The sequence below is a fragment of the Homo sapiens genome, chromosome 17, assembly GCF_000001405.40.
Source record: "Homo sapiens chromosome 17, GRCh38.p14 Primary Assembly".
NCBI classification, from domain to species: domain Eukaryota; kingdom Metazoa; phylum Chordata; class Mammalia; order Primates; family Hominidae; genus Homo; species Homo sapiens.
The window spans coordinates 35305999-35330133 of record NC_000017.11 but is presented as its reverse complement, the minus strand read 5'-3'; the positions used below and the strand labels follow the sequence as shown (position 1 = coordinate 35330133).

The following is a 24135-nucleotide window of genomic DNA, read 5'->3' as shown; positions in this document are numbered from 1 at the left end:
GCCTTCGTTAAAACCCAACACCCCTTCATGCTAAAAACTCTCAATAAACTAGGTATTGATGGAACATATCTCAAAATAATAAGAGTTATTTATGACAAACCCACAGCCAATGTCATACTGAATGGGCAAAAGCTGGAAGCATTCCCTTTGAAAACCAGCACAAGACAAGGATGCTCTCTCACCACCCCTATTCAACATAGTGTTGGAAGTTCCGGCCAGGGCAATCATGCAAAAGAAATAAAGCGTATTCAAATAGGAAGAGAGGGAGTCAAACTGTTTCTGTTTGCAGATGACATAATTGTATATTTCAAAAAACCCATTGTCTCAGCCCAAAATATCCCTAAGCTGAAAAGCAAATTCAGCAAAGTCTCAGGACACAAAATCAATATGCAGAAATCACAAGCATTTCTACACACTGACAACAGGCAAACAGAGAGCAAAATCATGAGTGAACTTCCAATCACAACTGCTACAAAGAGAATAAAATACCTAGGGATATAACTTACAAGGGATGTGAAGGACCTCTTCAAGGAGAACTACAAACCACTGCTCAAGGAAATAAGAGAGGACACAAATGAATGGAAAAACATTCCATGCTCATGGATAGGAAGAATCAATATCATGAAAACGGCCATCCTGCCCAAAGTAATTTATAGTTTCAATGCTATCCCCATCAAGCTACTGTTGACTTTCTTCACAGAATTAGAAAAAACTACTTTAAATTTCATATGGAACCAAAAAAGAGCCCGTATAGCCAAGACAATCTTAAGCAAAAAGAACAAAACTGGAGGCATCAAGCTGCCCAACTTCAAACTATACTACAATTGCTACAGTAAGCAAAACAGCATGGTACTGCTACCAAAACAGATATATAGACCAATGGAACAGAACAGAGGCCTCAGAAATAATGTCACACATCTACAACCATCTGATCTTTGACAAATCTGACAAAAACAAGCAATGGGGAAAGGATTCCCTCTTTAATAAATGGTGTTGAGAAAACTGGCTAGCCATAAGCAGAAAACTGAAACTGGACCCCTTCCTTACACCTTATACAAAAAGTAACTCAAGATGGATTAAAGACTTAAACCCAATACCTAAAACCATAAAAACCCTGGAAGAAGTCCTAGGCAATATCATTCAGGACACAGGCATGGGCAAAGACTTCATGACTAAATCACCAAAAGCAATGGCAACAAAAGCGAAAATTGACAAATGAGATCTAATTAAACTAAAGAGCTTCTGCACAGCAAAAGAAACTATCATCATAGTGAACAGGCAACCTACAGAATGGGAGAAAATTTTTGCAATCTATCCATCTGACAAAGGGCTAATATCCAGAATCTACAAAAAACTTAAACAAATTTGCAAGAAAAAAACAAACGACCACATCAAAAAGTGGGCAAAGAATGTAAACAGGCACTCCTCAAAAGAAGACATTTATGCAGCTGACAAACATATGAAAAAAAGGTCATCATCACTGGGTCATTAGAGAAATGCAAATCAAAACCGCAATGTGATACCACCTCATGCCAGTTAGAATGGCGATCATTAAAAAGTCAGGAAACAACAGATGCTGGAGAGGATGTGGAGAAATAGGAACGCTTTCACACCGTTGGTGGGAGCATAAATTAGTTCAACCATTGTGGAAGACGGTGTGGCAATTCCTCAAGGATCTAGAACCAGAAATACCATTTGACCCAGCAATCCCATTACTAGGTATATACCCAAAACATTATAAATTATTCTACCATAAAGACACATGCACACGTATGTTTATTGCAGCACTGTTCACAATAGCAAAGACCTAGAACCAACCCAAATGCCATCAATGATAGCCTGGATAAAGAAAATGTGGCACATGTACACCATGGAATACTGTGCAGCCATAAAAAGGATGAGTTCATGTCCTTTGCAGGGATATGGATGAAGCTGGAAACCATCATTCTCAGCAAACTAACAGGAACAGAAAACCAAACATTACATGTTCTCACTCATAAGTGGGAGTTGAACAATGAGAACACATGGACACAGAGAGGGGAACATCACACAACGGGGCCTGTTAGGGGGTGGGGAGCTAGGGGAGGGATGTATTAGGAGAAATACCTAGTGTAGATGATGGGTTGATGGGTGCAGCAAACCACCATGGCACGTGTATACCTATGTAACAAACCTTCACATTCTGCACTTGTATCCCAGAACTTAAAGTATAATAATAAAAAAAAGCACAAAGAGGGACATTATATAATGATAAAAGGCTTTGTCCAACAGGAAACTATCACAATACTAGACATACATTCACCTAACACTGGAGGTCCCAAATTTATGAAACAATTACTAATAGATCTAAGAAATGAGATAGACAGCAACAAAGTAACACTGAGGAACTTCAATACTCCGCTGACAGCACTAGACAGGTCATTAAGACAGAAAGCCAACAAAGAAACAATGGATTTAAACTACACCCTGGAACAAATGGACTCAACATATATATACAGAACATTCCATGCAACAACTGCAGAATACACATTCTATTCAACAGCACATGGAACTTTCTCCAAGATAGACCATATGATAGCCACAAAATGAGCCTCAATAAATTTAAGAAAATTGAAATTATATCAAGCACTCTCTCAGGCCACAGTGGAATAAAACTGGAAATAAACTTCAAAAGGAACCTTCAAAACCATGGAAATTAAATAACCTGCTCTTGAATGAACATTGGGTCAAAAATGAAATCAAGATGAAAATTTAAAAAGTCTTCGAACTGAATGACAATAGTGACACAACCTATCAAAACCTCTGAGACACAGCAAAGGTGATGCTAAGAGGAAATTTCATCGTCCTAAATGCCTACATCAAAAAATCTGAAAGAGCACAGGCAATCTAAGGTCACACCTCAAGGAACAAGAGAAACAAGAACAAATCAAACCCAAACCCAGAAGAAAGGAAGGAAATAACCAAGATCAGAGCAGAACTAAATGAAATTAAAACAAAAAAATACAAAAGATAAATAAAACAAAAAGCTAGTTCTTTGAAAAGATAAATAAAATTGATATACCATTAGCAAGATTAACCAAGAAGAGAGAAAATCCAAATAAGCTCAGTAAGAAACGAAACGGAAGAGATTACAACTGACACCACAGAAATGTGAAAGATCATTCAAGGCTACTATGAACACCTTTGCATGCGTAAACTAGAAAACCTAGAAGAGATGGATAAATTCCTGGAAAGACACAACCCTCCTAGCTTAAATCAGGAAAAATTAGATGTCCTGAACAGACCAATAACAAGCAGTAAGATTGAAATGGTAATTTAAAAATTACCAACAAAAAAAAGGGTCCAGGACCAGACGGATTCACAGCAGAATTCTACCAGACATTCAAAGAAGAATTGGTAACAATCTTTTTGACACTATTCCACAAGACAGAGAAAGAGAGAACCCTTCCTAAGTCATTCTATGAACCTAGTATCTCCCTAATACCAAAACCAGGAAAGGACATAATCAAAAAGAAAACTACAGACCAATATCCATAAAGAACATTAGATGCTAAAATCCTTAACAAAATTCTAGCTAACCAAATTCAAGAACATATCAGAAAGATAATCCACCATGACCAAGTGGGTTTCATACCAGGGATGCAGGGATGGTTTAATATATGCAAGTCAATAAATGTGACACAGCTGGGTGCGATGGCTCACCCCTGTAATCCCAGCACTTTGGGAGGCCGAGGTGGGTGGATCACCTGAGGTTGAGAGTTCGAGACCAGCCTGACCAACATGGAGAAACCTCATCTCTACTAGAAAAAAATTACAAAATTAGCCAGGCATGGTGGTACATGCCTGTAATCCCAGCTACTCGGGAGGCTGAGGCAGGAGAATCGCTTGAACCCAGGAGGCAGAGGTTGCGGTGAGCCAAGATTGGGCCATTGCACTCCAGCCTGGGCAACAAGAGCAAAACTCTGTCTAAAAAAAAAAAAGTGATACATCACATAAACAAAATTAAAAACAAAAACCATGTGATCATCTCAATAGATGCAGAAAAAGCATTTGACAAAATCCAGCATCACTTTACTATTAAAACTCTCAGCAAAATTGGCATATAAGAGATATACCTCAATATATTAAAAGCCATCTATGACAAAGTCACAGCCAACATAATACCGAGTGGGGAAAAGTTGAAAGCATTCCCTCTGAGAACTGAAACAAAACAAAGATGCCCACTCTCACCACTCCTCAACATAGTACTGGAAGTCCTAGCCAGAGCAATCAGACAAGAGAAATAAATAAAGGACATCCGAATCAATAAAGAGGGACTCAAATGTCCCTGTTTGCTGATGATATGATCATTTACCTGGGAAACCCTAAAGACTCCTCCAGAAAGCTCCTAGAACTGATAATTCAGCAAAGTTTTCAGATACAACATTAATGTACACAAATTAATAGCTCTTCTATACATCAGCAGCGACCAAGGGGAGAATCAAATCAAGAAATCAACCCCTTGTACAATAGCTGCAAACAAACAAACAAACAAAAAAAAAAAACAGTGAAAGGGCATCATTGCCTTGTTCCAGTTCTCAGGAGGAATGCTTTCAACTTTTCCCCATTCAGTATGCTGGCCATGGTATTTTATTATTCTTAATAGCTCTATTCATAATAGTCAAAACCTGGAAATAACCCAGAAGTTTTTCACTTGACAAATGGAAAAGCAGTGGTATATTTTCTTAAAAAATTTTTGTGGGTACATAGTAGGTATATATATTTATGAGGTACATGAGGCATTTTGATACAGGCATGCAATGCACAATAATCACATCATGGAAAATGGAGTAGCAATTCCTTCAAGCATTTATCATTTGTGTTACAAACAACCCAATTACACCTTTTAAGTTATTTTAAAATGTACAGTTAAATGATTATTGACTATAGTCACCCTGTTGTGCTATCAAATACTAGGACTTCTTCATTCTATTCCTTTTTTTGGACACATTCTACATCCCCACTGCCCACCAACTCCTTCAACCACACTTCCCAGCCTCTGGTAATAATCCTTCTACTCTCTATCTCTATGAGTTCAATTGTTCTGGTATTTAGATCCCACAAATAAGTGTGAACATGTGATGTTTGTCTTTCTGTGCCTGGCCTTATTTTGTTACCAAAACACCAGGGGTTTAGTCTAGGTCCTGCTGCTCCCTGCACAGAAAGCCAATGACTGAGACAATGATTATTGCCAAGGAAGAAGGCTTTAATCAGGTGGTGTAGCTGAGGGGATGGGAGATCAGTCTCAAATCCATCTCCATGACTGACTAGAACTAGGGGTTGATATAGCAGGGAAGAAATGTAACAATGTGTAAGAAAATAAGAACTAGGGAGAGGCAAGGAAGCAAACATGGTGAATGAGGGGTCCAGCATCTGGTGAGGTGATCTGGTGAGTTTCAGTTCTTTGATCCTTTTTTTTTCAGAGGCCTGAAGGTCCTGTCCTGAGGAAGGAATGCAGATAAAACAAATATAAGTTTCAAGCTTTAAGACCAGAAGGGTCAATTTCTATGTTTATCAAAAAGATCAGTCTATGAGACTATTGGGTCAGTTTCAGCCCCCACTTTCTATTTATCAATTCCTCAGACATGAGGAATCTGGTCATCAATCTTTCTGGCTGCTTCATGCTGAGGAGGGGTGTCATAGGCAGCTCCATACCATGGGTGACCACGTGGCTGCCCAAGAATCAGACGTTAATCTAATATAGACTTTTCTTCTGAAACACAATCTTTGGAAGCAGAGAAACTCTAAGCAGACAGGGGAGGGTCCCCAGTGGAAATCCCACCTTCAAGCCAGAAATATCCTTAAACCCACTGCCCAAAGTGAGAACTTCTATTCCTGTTTGCCTACTCTCTCCTGATTGGTTCTTTCTGAATAATATCTTTACCAATGGAATGTCGCCTTTTCCAAAACTACCTATGGCCTGCCCATACCCATCCTGTGCCTATAAAGACCTCAACCTCCCTCCCTCAACCAGGAGGGAGAAGAAGTGGCTGGACATTGGGGAAAGATGAATTGACTACATAGATGATGGCTGGATGTCACAGAGAGGCAACTTGACTTTGGAGGAGAGAGGCAGAGTGGTGACTTGACTTCAGGAGAGAGAAACCTGCCCTTCCCATCCCTTTGCCACCTTGCCAGCTCTTCTCTCTACTGAGAGCCACTTTCATCACTCAGTAAACTCCACCTTCACCATCCTTCATCTGTGTGACCTGACCTCATTCTTGCTTTTTTTTTTTTACTCAGATGGAGTCTTGCTCTGTCACCAGGCTGGAGTACAGTGGCGCGATCTCGGCTCACTTCAACCCCCACCTCCTGGGTTCAAGCAACTCTTCTGCCTCAGCCTCCTGAGCAGCTGGGATTACAGGTGTGTGCCACCATGCCCGGCTATTTTTTGTATTTTTTTTTTTTAGTAGAGACGGGGTTTCACCATGTTGGCCAGGCTGCTCTTGAACTCCTCACCTTGTGATCCACCCACCTTGCCCTCCCAAAGTTCTGGGATTACAGGCATGAGCCACCACGCCTGGCCAACCTCATTCTTCTTTGGCACTGGACAAAAATTGGGGACCCACCAAGTGCAGGTACCCAAAAGGGCTGTCACACTGGCCCTTTGCTCTCACTGGCAGAGGGCAGCAGCCCCATTGATGAGTCAAAGGGCCCACTGAGCTGATAACACAGTGCTATCTGTGAAAGGTGGAGCTAAGAGAGCACTGTAACATTCCCTCTGGGGCCTTGGGGTTGCAGGCACCCCTACCTGGACTCTGCCATGGGGCCTTCATGGTGTTTGCTCCTGCCAGCACCAAAGCAGCCAGCCAGTTCCTGCACTCACTTGCTTACATGCTCTCTTCCACAAGGGATGGAATGCAGTGGGTCCAAGCAAATGGAATTTGCTTCTGTCAGTGCTGAGGCAGCCAGCTGGTTCCTGCACTTGTTCAATTGAGTGCTTCCTCCTGCAAGGGGTTGAGCACAGTGGACTGAGTATACAAGGCACTCCAGTCACAAGTCCCACAAAGGCATCAAGAAAATATCCTGCATCAAAAACATGTTGTTATGAACCATATGCAATCAAATACATTGCTGTGAATTAAGAATATTTACAAATAGTTTACAAATTCTGGAGAAATTAGGCAGAGAGAAAAATATGACTCAAATTCTGTTTACAAACGTATATTTACTTAATACACTTAAAATATGTTTCAAGTTTATAAATAGCTCAAAAGAAAACAATTCTTCAGACTCCAAAAAACAAAACAAAAAGAATCAGCAATATTTCAAACAAAAAAAGCCATAAAAATTATTTCAGTCCTCCATTAGTTCTGTCAATGCAATCAACTCTCACTCTGCTTCATATTGCATTAGCAATCTTTATGAACATATCAGCCTTTCAATAAGTGCAGTGAAAGTTTTCTCTCTGATCTAATGGTACAATCTGCAAAGTTATCAGAAACCTGCATTCAAGAGTCCTTTTAATGAACTCCTCCAAAGAAACAAGACTTGGACTGTAGCTGATTATTAGTAACGTTTTTTGGAAGGATCACAGCAAGACAACATTTGTGGATGAAAAAAGTCTTAGGATAGCCGTAGTCAAAGACACAGTTGACAAGGAAATTTGGTTATTTCTGTGGCATGCAATTTAAAATAATAATCATAATTATTACTGATGATGTTACCAGTGGAGGGTGTCCAGGTTCTTGGTGTTTTGAACAAATAATTGGACAAAATGCACAAAGCAATGAAAGAAAAGCACAGATTTATTTAAATGAAACTACACTCCACAGAATGGGAGTGGGCTGAAGCAAGTGGCTCAAGAGCAGGGGTTACAGAATTTTCTGGAGTTTAAATACCCTCAAGAGGTTTCCCATTGGTTATTTGCTTTACACCCTATGTAAATGAAATAATGGCCCATAACCAGTCTGAATGGTTGTGGAAGGTGACCAATCAGAGTCTGAAGTAAAGTTACAAAGTTATACATGAAGACTTGGCCAATCAGAGGTACTTTCATTTTTCATCTGCAATGCAGAAAAGATGGGGAGAGTTACAAAGAAAGTAGCCTCTGATCCCTTTACTACTTGGGTGTGGAGAGGTGGGGTTAGGTTCTCTGCCTCCAGGCCCAGTTCTCCTGTGCATTTCCCCTCTGAGAGATGTGATCCCCATAAATCTTTATGGGAGGCAGGGGGACTGAGGGTCTTTCTTCTGTAACTGCTTCATGCTGACTTGGAGCACCGTCCCTACCTATTGAGGATTATAGAACTCTCATCCTGCTCTGTCTGGTGGGGAGAGGGTAGCTTCTTGATGGCCAGTGGTGTCTTCACCTGGAACTGACTGGAAACCTCATCACATGATCATCGAAAGCTTGATTGTCTCTAGGGAAAAGGAAATGAATTAAAGACTTAAATCTAAGACCTGAAACCATTAAAATTCTAGATGATAACACCAGAAAAACACTTCTGGACATTGGCTTAGGCAAAGAGTTTATAACCAAGAACACAAAAGCAAATGCAACAAAAACAAAAATAAATAGATCAGACCTAATTAAACTAAAACCTCCTGCACAGCAAAAGAAATAATCAGCAGAGTAAACAGACAACCCACAGAGTGGGAGAAAATATTTTCAAACTATGCATCTGACAAGACTAATATCCTGAATCTACAAGGAACTCAAACAAATCAGCAAGAAAAAAACAAAGAATCCCATCAAAAAGTGGACAAAGGATATGAATAGACAATTCTCAAAAGAGGATATACGAATGGCCAACAAACATATGAAAATATGCTCAACATCACTAATGGACAGGGAAATGCAAATTAAGACCACAACAAGATGACCTTACACCTGCAAGAATGGCCATAATTAAAAATAAAAAATTAACAGATGTTGGCATGCATGTGGTGAAAAGGAAATACTTTTACACTCCTGCTGGAAATGTAATATTATCATATTAACTGTAGGTTTGTCACATATAGCCTTTATTATGTCTAGGTATGTTTCTTCTATCCCAATTTGTTGAGAGTTTTTATCATGAAGGAATGTTGAATTTTATTGAATGCCTTTTCAGCATCTCTTGAAATGATCACATGGTTTTTGTCTTTGATCCTGTTGACATGATGTATCATGTTTATTGATTTGCATATGTTGAATTCCTGGGCTCAAGCAATCCTCCCATCTTGGCCTCCCAAAGTGCTGGGCATGAGCCACTGTGCCTGGCTTTATGTATCTTTTCAAAAAAAAAAAAAAAAAACAGGCCTGGCACGGTGGCTCACGCCTCTAATCCCAGCACTTTGGAAGGCCGAGGTGGGTGGATCACAAGGTCAGGAGATCGAGACCATCCTGGCTAACACAGTAAAACGCCATCTCTACTAAAAATACAAAAAATTAGCAAGGCGTGGTGGCGGGTGCCTGTAGTCCCAGCTTCTCAGGAGGCTGAGGCAGGAGAATGGTGTGAACCCAGGAGGTAGAGCTTGCAGTGAGCCGAGATCGCGCCACTGCACTCCAGCCTGGGTGACAGAGCGAGACTCCATCTCAAAAATAAATGAATAAATAAATAAATAAATAAATAAACCAACTGTTCCTTTTGTTATCTTTTTTATTTCTTTTTTTTTAAAGTCTCAATTTTATTTATTTCTTCTCTGATGTTTATTATTTATTGGTTTTTGCCTCCAATTCCTGACTCACAGACAGCATCTCTGGACCTGCCTGGGGAAACTTGCTGCCCTGAAGGAAAGGATACAAACCTGGCTGCCATTGCCACCCGCTGATTGTATAGTCTTAGAGCCTTGAGTGATCATAGATGGTAGCCAGATTGTAGTTATTGTGGGCATTGGGCAAGACCCAGTGCTATGCTGGCTGCAGGTATGATCCAGCACAGTCTCAGTGGTGGTGGCCTCAGGGGTGCTTGTATCACCACACCCCCAGTTCCAGGTGGCTCACCACAGACAGAAAGACTCCATTTATTTAAGAGAAAGTAAGGGAAAAGGACAAGAGTCTCTGCTTGGTAATCTACAGACTTTTTCCAGACCTTATCCAAGACCACCAAGGTGGTACCTCTACAAGTCTACAAAAGCCACAGCATTGTTGGGCTTGGGGCCCAAGTCCCTTTGAATACCTGGAAATGCTTAACAAGAATGGGAACAAATAAGCCCAAACTATGAAGACTACAATAAATACCTCTCTTCAATTCCCAGACACTGATGAACATCCACAAGCATCAAGATCATCCAGGAAAACATGACCACACCAAACAACTAAATAAGTCACCAGGGACCAATCCTGGAGAAACAGATATATGTGGTTAATATAGTTTGGACATATGTCCCTACCCAAATCTCATGAAATGTAATCCCCAATGTTGGAGGTAGGGCCTGGTTGCTGGTGATTGGATCATGGGAGCAGATTTCTCATGAATGACAGCACCATCCCTGTTGGTACTGTCCTTGTGATAGTGAGTTTTTGTGTGGAAGCAGGTTTGGAACTGGGTAACAGGCAGGTATTGGAAGAGCTTTGAGGGTTCAGAAGAAGACAAGAAGATGAGGGAAAATTTGGAGGCTCTTAGATATTGGTTAAATGGTTTTGACTGAAATGCAGATAGTGATATGGACAATGAACTCCAGGCTGAGGAGTTCTCAAATGGAAATAAGGAACTTATTGGGAAATGGATTCCCTGAACTTCAAGAGAGACATGCTGGGCTTATTAGGCTTATTTGTAATGTTAGAATTATACAGGAAGTGGCTGGGCACAGTGGCTCACACCAGTAATCCGAGCACTTTGGGAGGCCAAGGCGGGCAGATCACCTGAGGTTGGGAGTTCGAGACCAGCCTGACAAATATGGAGAAACCCCATCTCTAGTAAAAATACAAGATTAGCCAGTGTGGTGGCACATGCCTGTAATCCCAGCTACTCAGGAGGCTGAGACAGGAGGATTGTTTGAACTCAGGAGGCAGAGGTTGCAGTGAGCTGAGAACGTGCCATTGCACTCCAGCCTGGGCAACAAGAGTGAAACTCTGTCTCAAAAAAAAAAAAAAAAAAAAAAGAATTATACCGGAAGCATTGTCAAATCTGAGGTGGTGTTAAGCTTCCTTTGGGTTATATTTATATAAATGTGTCGTTAATATGTGTTCCAGGATTATATGAAATTCCTAAAATTCTAATGTGTCTTAATATATGTTGTCAGTAATGTATGATTATTATGTTAAAATAATAAATAACCTAATTTCCTGGTCAACTGTGTCTTTATGTCTGTCTTAAGACTTTTGTCATCCACAATTGATGTTTGGCTTTGATCCTTCTCAAAAAAAAAAGTGAGTTATAATCAGCTACAGTTCAAGAATTACTTCTTTGGAGGGGTTCATGAAAAGAACTCTTAAATGCAAGTTTCTGATAACTTTGGAGATCGTGCCATTGGATTAGAGAGAAAACTTCCAGGGCACCAATTCAAAGGCTGACGTGCTTGTAAAGACTGCCAACCCAATATGAGGTAGAGTAGGAGTAGGAACAGGAGTTAGCAGGACTGAAACTTCCCTATCCTATTACCAGTGCTTATACAAGGATTTTATGGAAGGCTTGGATGAAGTTGAAAGCATTCCTCCTGAGAACTGGAACAAAACAATGATGCCTATTGTCTCCATTTCTATTCAACATAGTACTCAAAATCTATGACAAGAGGACAAATAAGGGGAAACAGAAAAACAAGAGAAAGAAATAAAGGGCATCCAAATCTGTAAAGAGGAAATCAAACTGTCACTGTTTACTGATGATATGATTGTATACCTAGAAAACCCTAAAGACTCATTTAGAAGCTCCTAGATCTTATAAATGAATTCAGTAAAGTTTCAGGATACAAAGTCAATGTATGTAAATCTGTAGCACTGCTGCACACCAAGCTGAGAATCAAATCAAGAACTCAACCCCCTTTAAAACAGTTGCAAAAAAAAAAAAAAAGTTAAGTACTTAGGAATATACCTAACCAAAGAGGTGAAAGATCTCTACAAGGAAAACTATAAAACACTGCTGAAAGTAATCATCGATGATGCAAACAAACGGAAACACATTCCATGCTCATGGATGGGTATCATTCAATATTATGAAAATGATTATGTTGCCTAAAGCAATCTACAGATTCAATGCAATTCTCATCAAAATACCATCATTGTCCTTCACAGAACTAGAAAAAACAATCCTAAAATTCATATGAAATCAAAAAAGAGCACGCATAGCCAAAGCAAGACTAAGCAAGAAGAACAAATCTGGAGGCAACACATTACCCGACTTCAAACTATACTGGTATAAAAATAGGAACATAGACCAATGGAACAGAATAGAGAACCCAGATACTTACAGCCAACCCAGCTTTGACAAAGCAAACAAAACACGAAGTAGGGAAAGGACACCCTATTCAAGAGATGGTGCCGCGATAATTGGCAAGCCACATGTAGAAGAAGGAAACTGGATCCTCATCTCTCACCTTATATAAAAATCAACTAAAGATGGATCAAAGACCTAAATCTAGGACCTGAAACCATAAAAATTCTAGAAGATAATATCAGAAAAACTCTTCTATACATTGGCTTAGGCAAATAATTTATGACCAAGAACCCAAAAGCAAATGCAACAAAATAAAAAATAGTTGGGACTTAAAGTAAAAGGCTTCTGCACAGCAAAAGAAATAATAATCAGAGTAAACAGACAACCCAGAGTTGGAGAAAACATTTGCAAACTATGCATCCAACAAAGGACTAATATGCAGAATCTACAAGGAACTCAAAAAAATTAGCAAAAAAAAAAATAATCCAATCAAAAAGTGGGCAAAGAACATAAACAAACAATTCTCAAAAGAAGATATATAATGGACAACAAACATGAAAAAATGCTCAACATCACTAATGATCAGGGAGATACAAATCAAAACCACACTGTGATACCACCTTACCATTCTTATTCCTGCAAGAATGGCCATAATTTAAAAATAAAAAAAAATAGATGTTGGCATGGATGTGGTGAAAAGGGAACACTTTTACATTTCCAGTGGGAATATAAACTAGTACAACCACTATGGAAAACAGTATGGAGATTCCCTAAAAAACTAAAAGTAGATCTACCATTTGATCCAGCAATCCCACTACCTAATATCTGTCCAGAGGAAAATAAATCATTATATGAAAAAGACACTTGCACACACATGTTTCTAGCAGGAGAACCTGAAGTTGCAAAAATATGGAACCAGCCTAAATGCCCATCAACCAACAAGTGAATAAAGAAAATGTGGTATATATATATATATATATATACCACATTTTCTTTATATGTATATATATACATGTATATATAAGTATATATACACATATATATGCATATATATGTATATATGTGTGTGTATGTGTGTGTGTGTGTATATATATATATATATATATCCCATCAAAAAGTGGGCAAAGGGCATAAATAGGCAATTCTCAAAAGAAGATATACAATGGCCAACAAACATATGAAAAAAATGCTCAACATCACTAATGACCAGGGAAATGCAAATCAAAACCACAATGTGATACCACCTTACCATTCTTATTCCTGCAAGAATGGCCATAATTTAAAAGTAAAAAAAGTAGATGTTGGCATATATATACACATATATATATGTGTGTGTATGTGTGTGTGTGTGTATATATATATATATATATATAAATAAAATACACATACCATGGAATATGACTCAGCCAGAAAAAGGAACAAAATAATGGCCTTTGCAGCAACCTGGATGGAGTTGGAGACCATTATTCTAAGTGCAATAATTCAAGAATGAAAAACCAAATATCATACGTTCTCACTTATAAGTGGGAACTAAGCTATTAGGACACAAAGGCACAAGAATGTTACAATGGAATTTGGGGACTTAGGGGGAAGAATAGGGGTGGTGAGGGATAAAAGGCTCCACATTGGGTACAGTGAACACTGCCCGGATGACAGCTGCACCAATAACTCAGAAATGACCACTAAAGAACTTATCTATGTAAACAAAAACCACAATAGTTCCCCAACAAGCTATTGAAATGAAATTTAAAAAATAATCTGTCCAAATCCATAGAAGGTACAACACTGAGAGAGAAACCTAATGTAAAGTATGGGCTTTGGGTGATAATGATATGTCGATGTAGGTTCATCAATTGTAACAAATGTACCACTCTGGTAAAGATGTTGATTAAGAAGCAGAGGGTTGGGGGTAGAGTCTGCATGTGCTGGGTGGGGTGTGTACTGGAACTCTGTACTTCCCCTCAATTTTGCTGGGAATCTAAGATTGCTCTAAAAAATAAAAGACTATTTTTTAAGAAATGAAAAAAACAGATTAACGAGAAGATAGTCAATGGATTTTCAGTGTATATATAATTGGAACCTGTCAAAGAGTAAAATAAAGCAGTAGAATGGAGCAAATATTTAGAATGATAATGGAATAAAATGTGTTCAAACTAAAAGAGCACCTGAATCTATATATCATAGAGGCCTACCGTGTGTCTGAGAAGCTTAACACTGAGTAGTCAACACTGGGACATAACCCAAAATATACTTGTCGGAATGTAAAAACAGATTCCATTGGCAGCCACACAAAAAGACTGAGTCATTTATCAGAAAAAGAGTATCGGCCCCTCCCTGTAATCCCAGCAACTTGGGAGGCTGAGGTGGGTGAATCGCTTGAGCCCAGGAGTTGCAGCCCAGCCTGGGAAACATGAGCCCAGCCTGGGCAACGTAGGGAGACCTTGTCTCTACAACAAATACAAAAATTAGCTGGGGATGGTGATGTGTGCCTGTAGTCTCAGCTACTCAGGAGGCTGGGGTGGGAAGATCATTTGAGCCTGGGAAGTTGAGGCTGCAGTGAGCTGAGGTCACACCACTGCACTCCAGCCTGGGTTACAGAGCAAGACCCTGCCTCAAAAGAAAAAAAAGAAGAGTATCAGGTTCCGGTTCAAGATGACTGAGTAGAAGCAGCTAGTGCCTGCCTCTCTCTCAGAGAGGAACACAAAGTAGTGAGTAAATACTAACTCTACAAGTGAATAGGCTGAGATCATGCTAGGATTTTCTTCAAGGAAGTGATGGGACCCACAGAGAACAGAGAGAGAGGCAGAGCTGGAGCAGGGAGAAGCTCCCTAAGGCAGAGAAAGAGTCCCTGGGGAATCTACACTTAGGTCTTTGCAATTCAGGGTATGGGAGAGTCCCTTGACCAACCCCCACCCCACTGTGTAGGCCTCCAGACCTACAGAGGGTCTATGCAGAGGCACACTCAAGCCCACGTGGAACCCCTGGGCCTTTGATCCCCATGCAGCCCTGCCAACAAGTGGGACCAGCCTCTTCTGCACAACCCTAGGTTGTGGTGCAGCTGTGGTGCTGAGGAGAGGCCAAACTGCACACTGCACAACATCTCCATCCCCACTGCTCCTCACCAGACAGGGTCCCAGGCCTGGGCTCCTAGCACAGCTGCCCTGACCCCGCCTGAACACTGTGGCTCGTAATGGCTTGTAATGGGGATCAAGTTCCCCAGAGGTAACTGACAAGCCCTCCACAGTCGCCACTGCCGCTGCCTCCGCTTTTGCTGCCCTCAGGCCAAGGAGGGAACAAGAAGACTGGACACATTTGTGTGTACCTCCAGCATGGATGTCACAGCCAAGATACGGAGGAACAATGGACAGACTGCACACACCGGGCAACTCTCTGCATACACTATGAGGCTCACCACCTTCTGGCACCCAGTGCACCCGCCCCATTCCTGCCCGAACACCGCGGTGGAGACTTGGTGTTCCTCTGCGTGCAGGACTCATTGAGGTAGCTGACAGGCCCTTTTCGATCTCTGTTGCCTTTGCCTCCCCCTCCACCCCTGTTGCCCCCGGGTCTGGGAGGGAACAAGGAGGCTGGACACCTTCCTGTGCCTTCAGCACTGATGTCTCAGCTGAGATAAGAAGGAGGAGACTGTGTAACCGAGGACTCCCCGCGTCTGCTGTCCCCTGCCAAATCGGGCTCGCTGGCTTCCGGCCCACAACGGCCTTCCTGCCCCTTCCTGAAATTATGGCCATGGCTCGGTTCCTTTGAGAGCCCAATTCCCTGAGGCCAGCAACAAGCTTTTTGGCTCCATCCCTACCACCCCCAGGCCAGCGTGGGAAGAGGAGGCTTTGCACCTTTGTGTGCCCGCAGCAGTGAAATCCAGCATTGCTTGCGTGGGAGGGAAGTGCAAGAGTGCCCCGTCCCCACTGCCCCAGCTGAGGGGTCCTGCCCTCCCCGGTGAAAGACCCACAGCACAGCCACCCTGCCCCATGTAAACATTTTCAGCTGCAGCCCAGAGCCCTTCTGAAAACCCAACCCCCCAAGCTTTTGATCTTCCTTGGGATTCCACCGCCCAAGTGCTCTGCCTGCCCTCACCTGAGAGTTCAGCGGTGACCGACCCGGGAGACTAGCCCACTCCTCGTCATCACAGCCCGTACCTGAAGTCTGGGCTAGCCTGACCCTGGTCCAGCCCATTCCGGACTCATATACACTGTCCCAGCAGGCCGTCTGGGGTCCTGGAAACGGGGAACTACCTATCCCATTCCAACTCTGCTGCCACCCGATAACTTCCACCGGGGCCGAGGTCAGGTGGACCCAATCAGCGGACACCACCATAACCAACCATGTAAGGGTTTGGGGTGGAGCTCTCCCCGCCCCACCCTTCACATGAAGCAGCAGTGCTACCACATCAGAAAACAGAGGAGCCACAAAGCTATCTCTATTGGGCTGAGTTACAAAGTTTTGCCCCCAAACCACTCCCACGGAGACTCACAAAACAGTTTCCTGTGGCTCTCAACCACGTAGGGGTCCAGAGATTGGCTATGTGTGTCTGAACTAGGAGTCACCAACCCCGCCCAGAACAGGGGTGTGATAGGCAAACAGATCATGTTCCTGCCTATGTAGGATGGGGAGCCAGTACAGCCCCCTAACCTCCTCACCCCAAAGACACCTCAGCGCATTTCACCGGGAGCCACCCACCCACTGTCATCAGGGCTGGTGCCTGCACTCACTACTGGGGCCTTCTTAGGCAAGCTAGGGGCTCCAGCTACCCTCCAAGAACAGGAAAGCTTAGGGTAGGGGGCTCTCCACTGCCCAGCCCACCTCCTGAGACAATAGAGAGAACTTCACAGTAAACAAAGATCAGTTACATACTCCTCTGCTTGTGCCGCAGCTGACAATTACCCTTAAGCGCCATCTACTGGCCTGTAGATCAAATATCACAGCCCAGTGTAAAACCTGCCAACAGAAGTGCATAGGGTTACAGAAGCAAAGCCAGAAGGCCCTACTCAACATACTCTGTAGCTATACCCTGCTAGAGATGGGGTGGGGGAGAAAGGCAAAGAAAAAAAATTCTTTCCACATTAAATTAATTACAAAAATTAGAAGTGCTAGCCTCTCCAGATAAGAAGGAAACAGTGTAAGAATTCCAGCACCATGAAAAATCTGAATGTTGTGACACCACCAAAAGATTACACTAGCTCTCCACCAATGGACCCTAACAAAAAAGGAAGCTCAGAAATGACAGAGAATTCAAAGCATGGATTGCAAGGCAGCTCAACGAGATCCAAGACAAGGCTGAAAATCGACGCAAGGAAACTACTAAAGCAATCCAGAAAATGAAGGAAGAGATAAGCATCTTTTTAAAACTTATCAGATCTTCAGAAATTGAAAAACTCACTTACAGAATTTCAAAATACTATTGAAATCTCTATCAACAGACTAGATCAAGCACAAGGAAGAATTTCAGAGCATGAAGACCAATATTTCTAACTAACTCAGTCACACAGAAATAAAGAATTGTTTAAAAATGAGTAAAATTTTTTAGAAACATAGGATTATGTTAAGCAACCAAATCTACAAAAGATTGGAATTCCTGAGAGAAGAAGAAAAAGTAAACAGCTGGAAAACTTATTTGAAGGAATAATTCAAAAATGTTTTCCTAATCTTGTTAGAGAGGTAGACATCCAAACACAATAAACCTGGAGAACACCTGCAAGATACTATACAAGACAAATGTCACCAAGGCACATAGTCACCAGAGTATCCAAAGTCAATACTAAAGAAAAAATGTTAAACGACACCTAGAGAAAAATGTCAGATCACTTACAAGGGAACCCCATTAGGCTAACAATGGACTTCTCAGCAGAAACCTTACAAATGAGAAGAGATTGAGTACTTATTTTCAGTATTCTCAAATAAAAGGAAGTCCAACCAGGAATTTGATGTCTTCCCAAACTAAGCTTCATAAACAAAGAAGAAATAAAATATTTTCCAGGCAAGCAATTGTTAAAGGACCTTATTTTTTACCACTAGACTAGCATTACGAGATATCCTAAGAGAGTTTTAAATATGGAAATGAAAGAATGATGCCTGCTACCACAAAAGCACACTTAAGTATTATACATAGTTCACAGACCTTATAAAGCAACTACACAAATCGGGACTACAAAGAAACCAGCTAACAACATCACAACAGGATTAAAAACCTCACATATAAATATTAACGTTGAATGTAAATGGTCTAAATGTTCCACTTAAAAGGCACAGAGTGGAAATTGGACAAAGAGGAGCTAGAGAAAGAGATAGGGGTAAAAAGTTTATTCAAAGGGATAATAACAGAGAACATCCCAAACCCAGAGAAAGAAATCAATATCCAATTACAAGAAGGTTATAGAACACAAAGCAGATTTAACCTAAAGAAGACTACTTCAAGGCACGTAATAATCAAATTTCCAAAGCTCAAGGTTAAAGAAAAGCTCCCAAAAGCAGCAAAAGAAAAGAAAAAAATAATATGCAATGGAATCCCAATAAGTGTGGCAGCAGACATTTCAACCTTACAGGCCAGGAGAGAGCTGGCATGACATATTTAAAGTGCTGAAGGAAAAAAACACCCACCCTAGAATAGTATATCAGGTGAAAAATCCTTCAAACATGAAGGAGAAATAAGACTTTCCGAGACATACAGAAACAGGGATTTCATAAACGCCAGACCAGTCCTACAAGAGATGTGAAAGGCAGTACTTCAATCAGAAATAAAGACATTAATGAATGAGAAAAAATAATCTGAAGGTACAAATCTCATTGGCAATAGAAAGTACACAGAAAAACACAGAATAGTATAGCACTGTAACTGTGCCGTGTAAACTACTCTTATCTTAAATAGAAAGATTAAATGATAAACAAATATAGTAAAAACCAACTTTTCAAGACATAGTCAGTACAATAAGATGAATAAAAACAACAAAAAGTTAATTTTTTTTGAGACAGGGTCTTGCTCTTTCACCCAGGCTGGAGTGCACCGGTGTGATCTTGGCTCACTGAAACCTCTGTTTCTCAGGCTCAAGTGATCCTCCCACCTCAGCCTCCTGACTAGCTGGGACTACAGGCATGCACCACCATACCTGAGTGGTTTTTCTATTTTAAATAGAGATGAGGTTTTGCCATGTTGCCCAGGCTGGTCTCAAACTCCTGGGCTCAAGCAATCTGCCCATCTAGGCCTCTGAAAGTTCTGGAATTATAAACATGAGCCACTGCACCTGGCCAAAAGTTTTGTCTTGTAATCTATTTTGTCTGACACAAGTATAGCTACTCCTGCTCTTTTTTGGTTTCCATTAGCATAGAATATCTTTTTCCATCCCTTTATTTTCGGCCTATGTGTATCTGTATGGGTGAAACATGTTTCTTATAGGCAACAGATCATTGAGTCTTGCTTTTTATTTATTTATTTATTTATTATATATTTATTTATTTTATTATACTTTAAGTTCTGGGATACATGTGCAGAATGTGGAGTTTTGTTACATAGGTATACATGTGCCATGGTGGTTTGCTGCACCCATCAACCCATCACCTACATTAGGTACTTCTACTAATGCTATCCCTCCCCTATGCCCCCACCCCCTGACAGGCCCTGGTGTGTGATGTTCCCCTCCCTGTGTCCATGTGTTTTCATTGTTCAGCTTCCACTATGAGTGAGAACATGTGGTGTTTGGTTTTCTGTTCTTGTGTTAGTTTGCTGAGAATGATGGTTTCCAGCTTCATCCATGTCCCTACAAAGGACATGAACTCTTCATTTTTTATGGCTGCATAGTATTCCATGGTGTATATGTGCCACATTTTCTTTATCCAATCTATCATTGATGGGCATTTGGGTTGGTTCCAGGTCTTTGCTATTGTGAATAATGCTGCAATAAACATACGAGTGCATGTGTCTTTATAGTAGAATGATTTATAATCCTTTGGGTATATACCCAGTAATGGGATTGCTGGGTCAAATGGTATTTCTGGTTCTAGATCCTTGAGGAATCGCCACACTGTCCTCCACAATGGTTGAACTAATTTATGCTCCCACCAACAGTGTAAAAGCGCTCCTATTTCTCCACATCCTCTCCAGCATCTGTTGTTTCCTGGCTTTTTAATGATTGCCATTCTAACCAGCATGAGATGGTATCTCATTGTGGTTTTGATTTGCATTTCTCTAATGCCCAGTGCTGAGCTTTTTTTTCATACATTTGTTGGCTACATAAATGTCTTCTTTTGAGAAGTGTCTGTTCATATCTTTCGCCCATTTTTTGATGGGTTTTTTTTTCTTGTACATTTGTTTCAGTTCCTTGTAGAGTCTGTATATCAACCCTTTGTCAGACGGATAGATTGCAAAAATTTTCTCCCATTCTGTAGGTTGCCTGTTACTCTGACAATAATTTCTCTTGCTGTGCAGAAGCTCTTTAGTTTAATTAGATCTCATTTGTCAATTTTCGCTTTTGTTGCCATTGCTTTTGGTGTTTTAGTCATGAAGTCTTTGCCCATGCCTATGTCCTGAATGGTATTGCCTAGGTTTTCTTCTAGGGTTTTTATGGTTTTAGGTTTTATATTTAAGTCTTTAATCCATCTTGAGTTAATTTTTGCATAAGGTGTAAGGAAGGAGTGCAGATTCAGGTTTCTGCATATGGCTAGCCAGTTTTCCCAACACCAGTTATTAAAGAGGGAATCATTTCCCCATTGCTTGTTTTATCAGGTTGGTCAAAGATCAGATGGATGTAGATGTGTAACGTTATTTCTGAGGCATCTGTTCTGTTTCATTTGTCTATATATCTGTTTTGTCACCAGTACAATGCTGTTTTCATTACTGTACCTTTATAGTGTAGTTTGAAGTCAGGTAGTGTGATGCCTCCAGCTTTGTTCTTTTTGCTTAGGATTGTCTTAGCTATATGGGCTCTCTTTTGGTTCAATATGAAATTTAAAGTAGTTTTTTCTAATTCTATGAGGAAAGTCAATGGTAGCTTGATGGGGATAGCATTGAATCTATGAATTACTTTGGGCAGTATGGCTATTTTTATGATATTGAATCTTCCTATCCATGAGCATGGAATGTTTTTCCATTTGTTTGTGTCCTCTCATTTCCTTGAGCAGTGGTTTGTAGTTCTCATTGAAGAGGTCCTTCACATCCCTTGTAAGTTGTATTCTTAGGTATTTTATTCTTGTTGTAGTGATTGTGAATGGGAGTTCATATGATTTGGCTCTCTGTTTGTCTATTATTAGTGTATAGGAATGTTTGTGATCTTTGCACATTGATTTTGTATCCTGAGACTTTGCTGAAATTGTTTATCAGCTTAAGGAGATTTAGGGTTGAGACCATGGGGTTTTCTAAATATACAATCATGTCATCTGCAAACAGAGAGAGTTTGACTTCCTCTCTTCCTATTTGAATATGCTTTATTTCTTTTTCTTGCCTGATTGTCCTGGCCAGACTTCCAATACTATGTTGAATAGGAGTAGTGAGACAGGGCATCTTTTTCTTGTGCTGGTTTTCAAAGGGAATTCTTCCAGTTTTTGCCCATTCAGTATGATATTGGCTGTGGGTTTGTGATAAATAGCTCTTATTATTTTGAGATATGTTTTATCAGTCCTAGTTTATTGAGAGTTTTTAGCATGAAGGGGTGTTGAATTTTATTGAAGACCTTTTCTGCATTTATGGAGATAATCATGTGTTTTTTGTCATTGGTTCTGTTTATGTGATGAATTATGATTATTGATTTGTGTTTATTGAACTAGCCTTGCATCTGAGGGATGAAGCTGACAAGATCGTGGTGGATAAGCTTTTTGATGTGCTGCTGGATTCTGTTTGCCAGTATTTTATTGAGGATTTTAGCATCGATGTTCATCTGGGATATTGGCCTGAAATTTTCTTTTTTTGTTGTGTCTCTGTCAGGTTTTGGTATCAGGATGATGCTGACCTCATAAAATGAGTTAGGGAGGATTCCTTCTTTTTCTATTGTTTGGAATACTTTTAGAAGAAATGGTACCAACTCCTCTTTGTACCTCTGGTAGAATTCAGCTGTGAATCTGTCTAGTCCTGGGCTTTTAGTGGTTGGTAGGCTATTAATTACTGCCTCAATTTCAGAACTTGTTATTGGTCTATTCAGGGATTCAACTTCTTCCTGGTTTAGTCTTCAGAGGGCATATGTGTCCAGGAATTTACCCATTTCTTCTAGATTTTCTAGTTTATTTGCACAGAGGTGTTTATAGTATTCTCTGATGGTAGTTTGCATTTCTGTGGGATCGGTGGTGATATCCCCTTTATCATTTTTTATTGTGTCTATTTGATTCTTCTCTCTTTTCTTCTTTATTAGTCTGGCTAGCCATCTATCTATTTTGTTAATCTTTTCAAAAAACCAGCTCCTAGATTTGTAATGCCAAAGGTTCTTGCCTTAGCCACGCCAAAGATTTGGTGTGGCGGCAGCTCGTGGTGAGAGAGAGACAAGGATTGGACTGAGAGAAAAAAAGCTATAGGCTTTATTAAGCAGAGTGACAGTACAAAGCTTCTACAGCATGGAAGGAGTCCCGAGCGGGTAGCCAGTGTTAGATTTTTTGATCACCTCTTAGAGTCTTTAAGGTGAGAAATACATGCAGAGGGAAGATGTTACCAGAGCGAGAAACAAAGACAATTAACATGTCTCGGATCTTGAGAAAAACCGGAATTGTAACTTAAGTTTTATCGACTTTATAACCTTGCAGTGGCATGGCAAAGGAGACAGGATCTCACAGGATTTTACAAATTGTGTTTACAAGGAATTGGAATTGGGGGCATAGCTAAGGTCTGCTGGTCACAGAAAAATGGGCTTTTAACATTCCTTTTAGTTTCAGGGGAGGAAGAGGGGAGAGAGGGAGAGAGGACACAGGGAAGCTCACAGCAAAATTTTTGCTGTTTATAGCTTTCTTGGGGAAAAAAACACGTGTGCAAATTCTGATGTTAGGAATATTTTAAGCATATATCTTCAATATTATTCATCCAGGACCAAAGTAAGTCCTGATGCAGGAAATGAGTGAGTTTCACAGCTTTCTGAGCCCCTACTCAACCCAGGAAGCCCAGTGGGCACCTCCTCTCAGCTCCCCCTCTAGACAGGACGCCCCAACTGCTGTTGGGAACTGGGCGGTGGTGGTTCTGGCTACTTCCTGCTGATTAAGGGCCAAGAAGGGGCCCTGCAGTTGTGGTGTCCTCCAGAGGGGAACTTTTTAGGCTAGTGAGGGACCAGTGGGTCGATACAGGTCCTCGGTAGAAGCCGTGAGTTGAACTCATTTGAGGTTCCATTTATAAGACCATTGGTAGCTTGATGGCCTTGATTCTGGAGGAAACAAATTTGACAAGGAGGTTAAAAATGCAAGGCCCAAAAGCGAATAATAGTAGGATGGCTGTCGCAGGGCCTAGAAAGCGGAGGAGCCAAGGTATCCATTGGTTAAACATATTCCAGGGCCCTGAGTGTTCAAGCTCCTTTTTTTCTACTTTCTATTCATTTTCTTAGTTCTTTGACTTTTTAGTAATGATTCCTGACTGGTTAATGAAATAGCAACATTTTTCTCCTAAGAAGAGGCAGGTTTCTCCCCTTTCAGCTGTTAGTAAGTCTAGGGCTCTCTGGTTTTGAAGGACTACTGCAGCTAGAGAATTAAGCTGGCTTTGTAGGGTCACTAGGGAGTTGGCAACTAGTTCCATGTCATCCTTTAATTTTTGTAATAATTTATAATAGAATTGGGTGGAGGAGGTTATGCCTCCAATTTCAGTCCCAAGCCCACCCAGTATTCCGGCTCC

General features: G+C 40.8%; 3 annotated features.

Annotated features, from left to right (window-relative positions):
- Nucleotides 14788-15446: an enhancer, noted in NCBI's record as "NANOG-H3K27ac-H3K4me1 hESC enhancer chr17:33641707-33642365 (GRCh37/hg19 assembly coordinates)". NCBI's record gives its function as "activates a minimal SCP1, AML or CMV promoter by ChIP-STARR-seq in naive H9 embryonic stem cells {active_cell/tissue: H9 hESC(naive)}" and the evidence as "EXISTENCE:reporter gene assay evidence [ECO:0000049][PMID:30033119]".
- Nucleotides 16108-16767: an enhancer, noted in NCBI's record as "H3K4me1 hESC enhancer chr17:33640386-33641045 (GRCh37/hg19 assembly coordinates)". NCBI's record gives its function as "activates a minimal SCP1, AML or CMV promoter by ChIP-STARR-seq in naive H9 embryonic stem cells {active_cell/tissue: H9 hESC(naive)}" and the evidence as "EXISTENCE:reporter gene assay evidence [ECO:0000049][PMID:30033119]".
- Nucleotides 17946-18447: an enhancer, noted in NCBI's record as "NANOG hESC enhancer chr17:33638706-33639207 (GRCh37/hg19 assembly coordinates)". NCBI's record gives its function as "activates a minimal SCP1, AML or CMV promoter by ChIP-STARR-seq in primed H9 embryonic stem cells {active_cell/tissue: H9 hESC(primed)}" and the evidence as "EXISTENCE:reporter gene assay evidence [ECO:0000049][PMID:30033119]".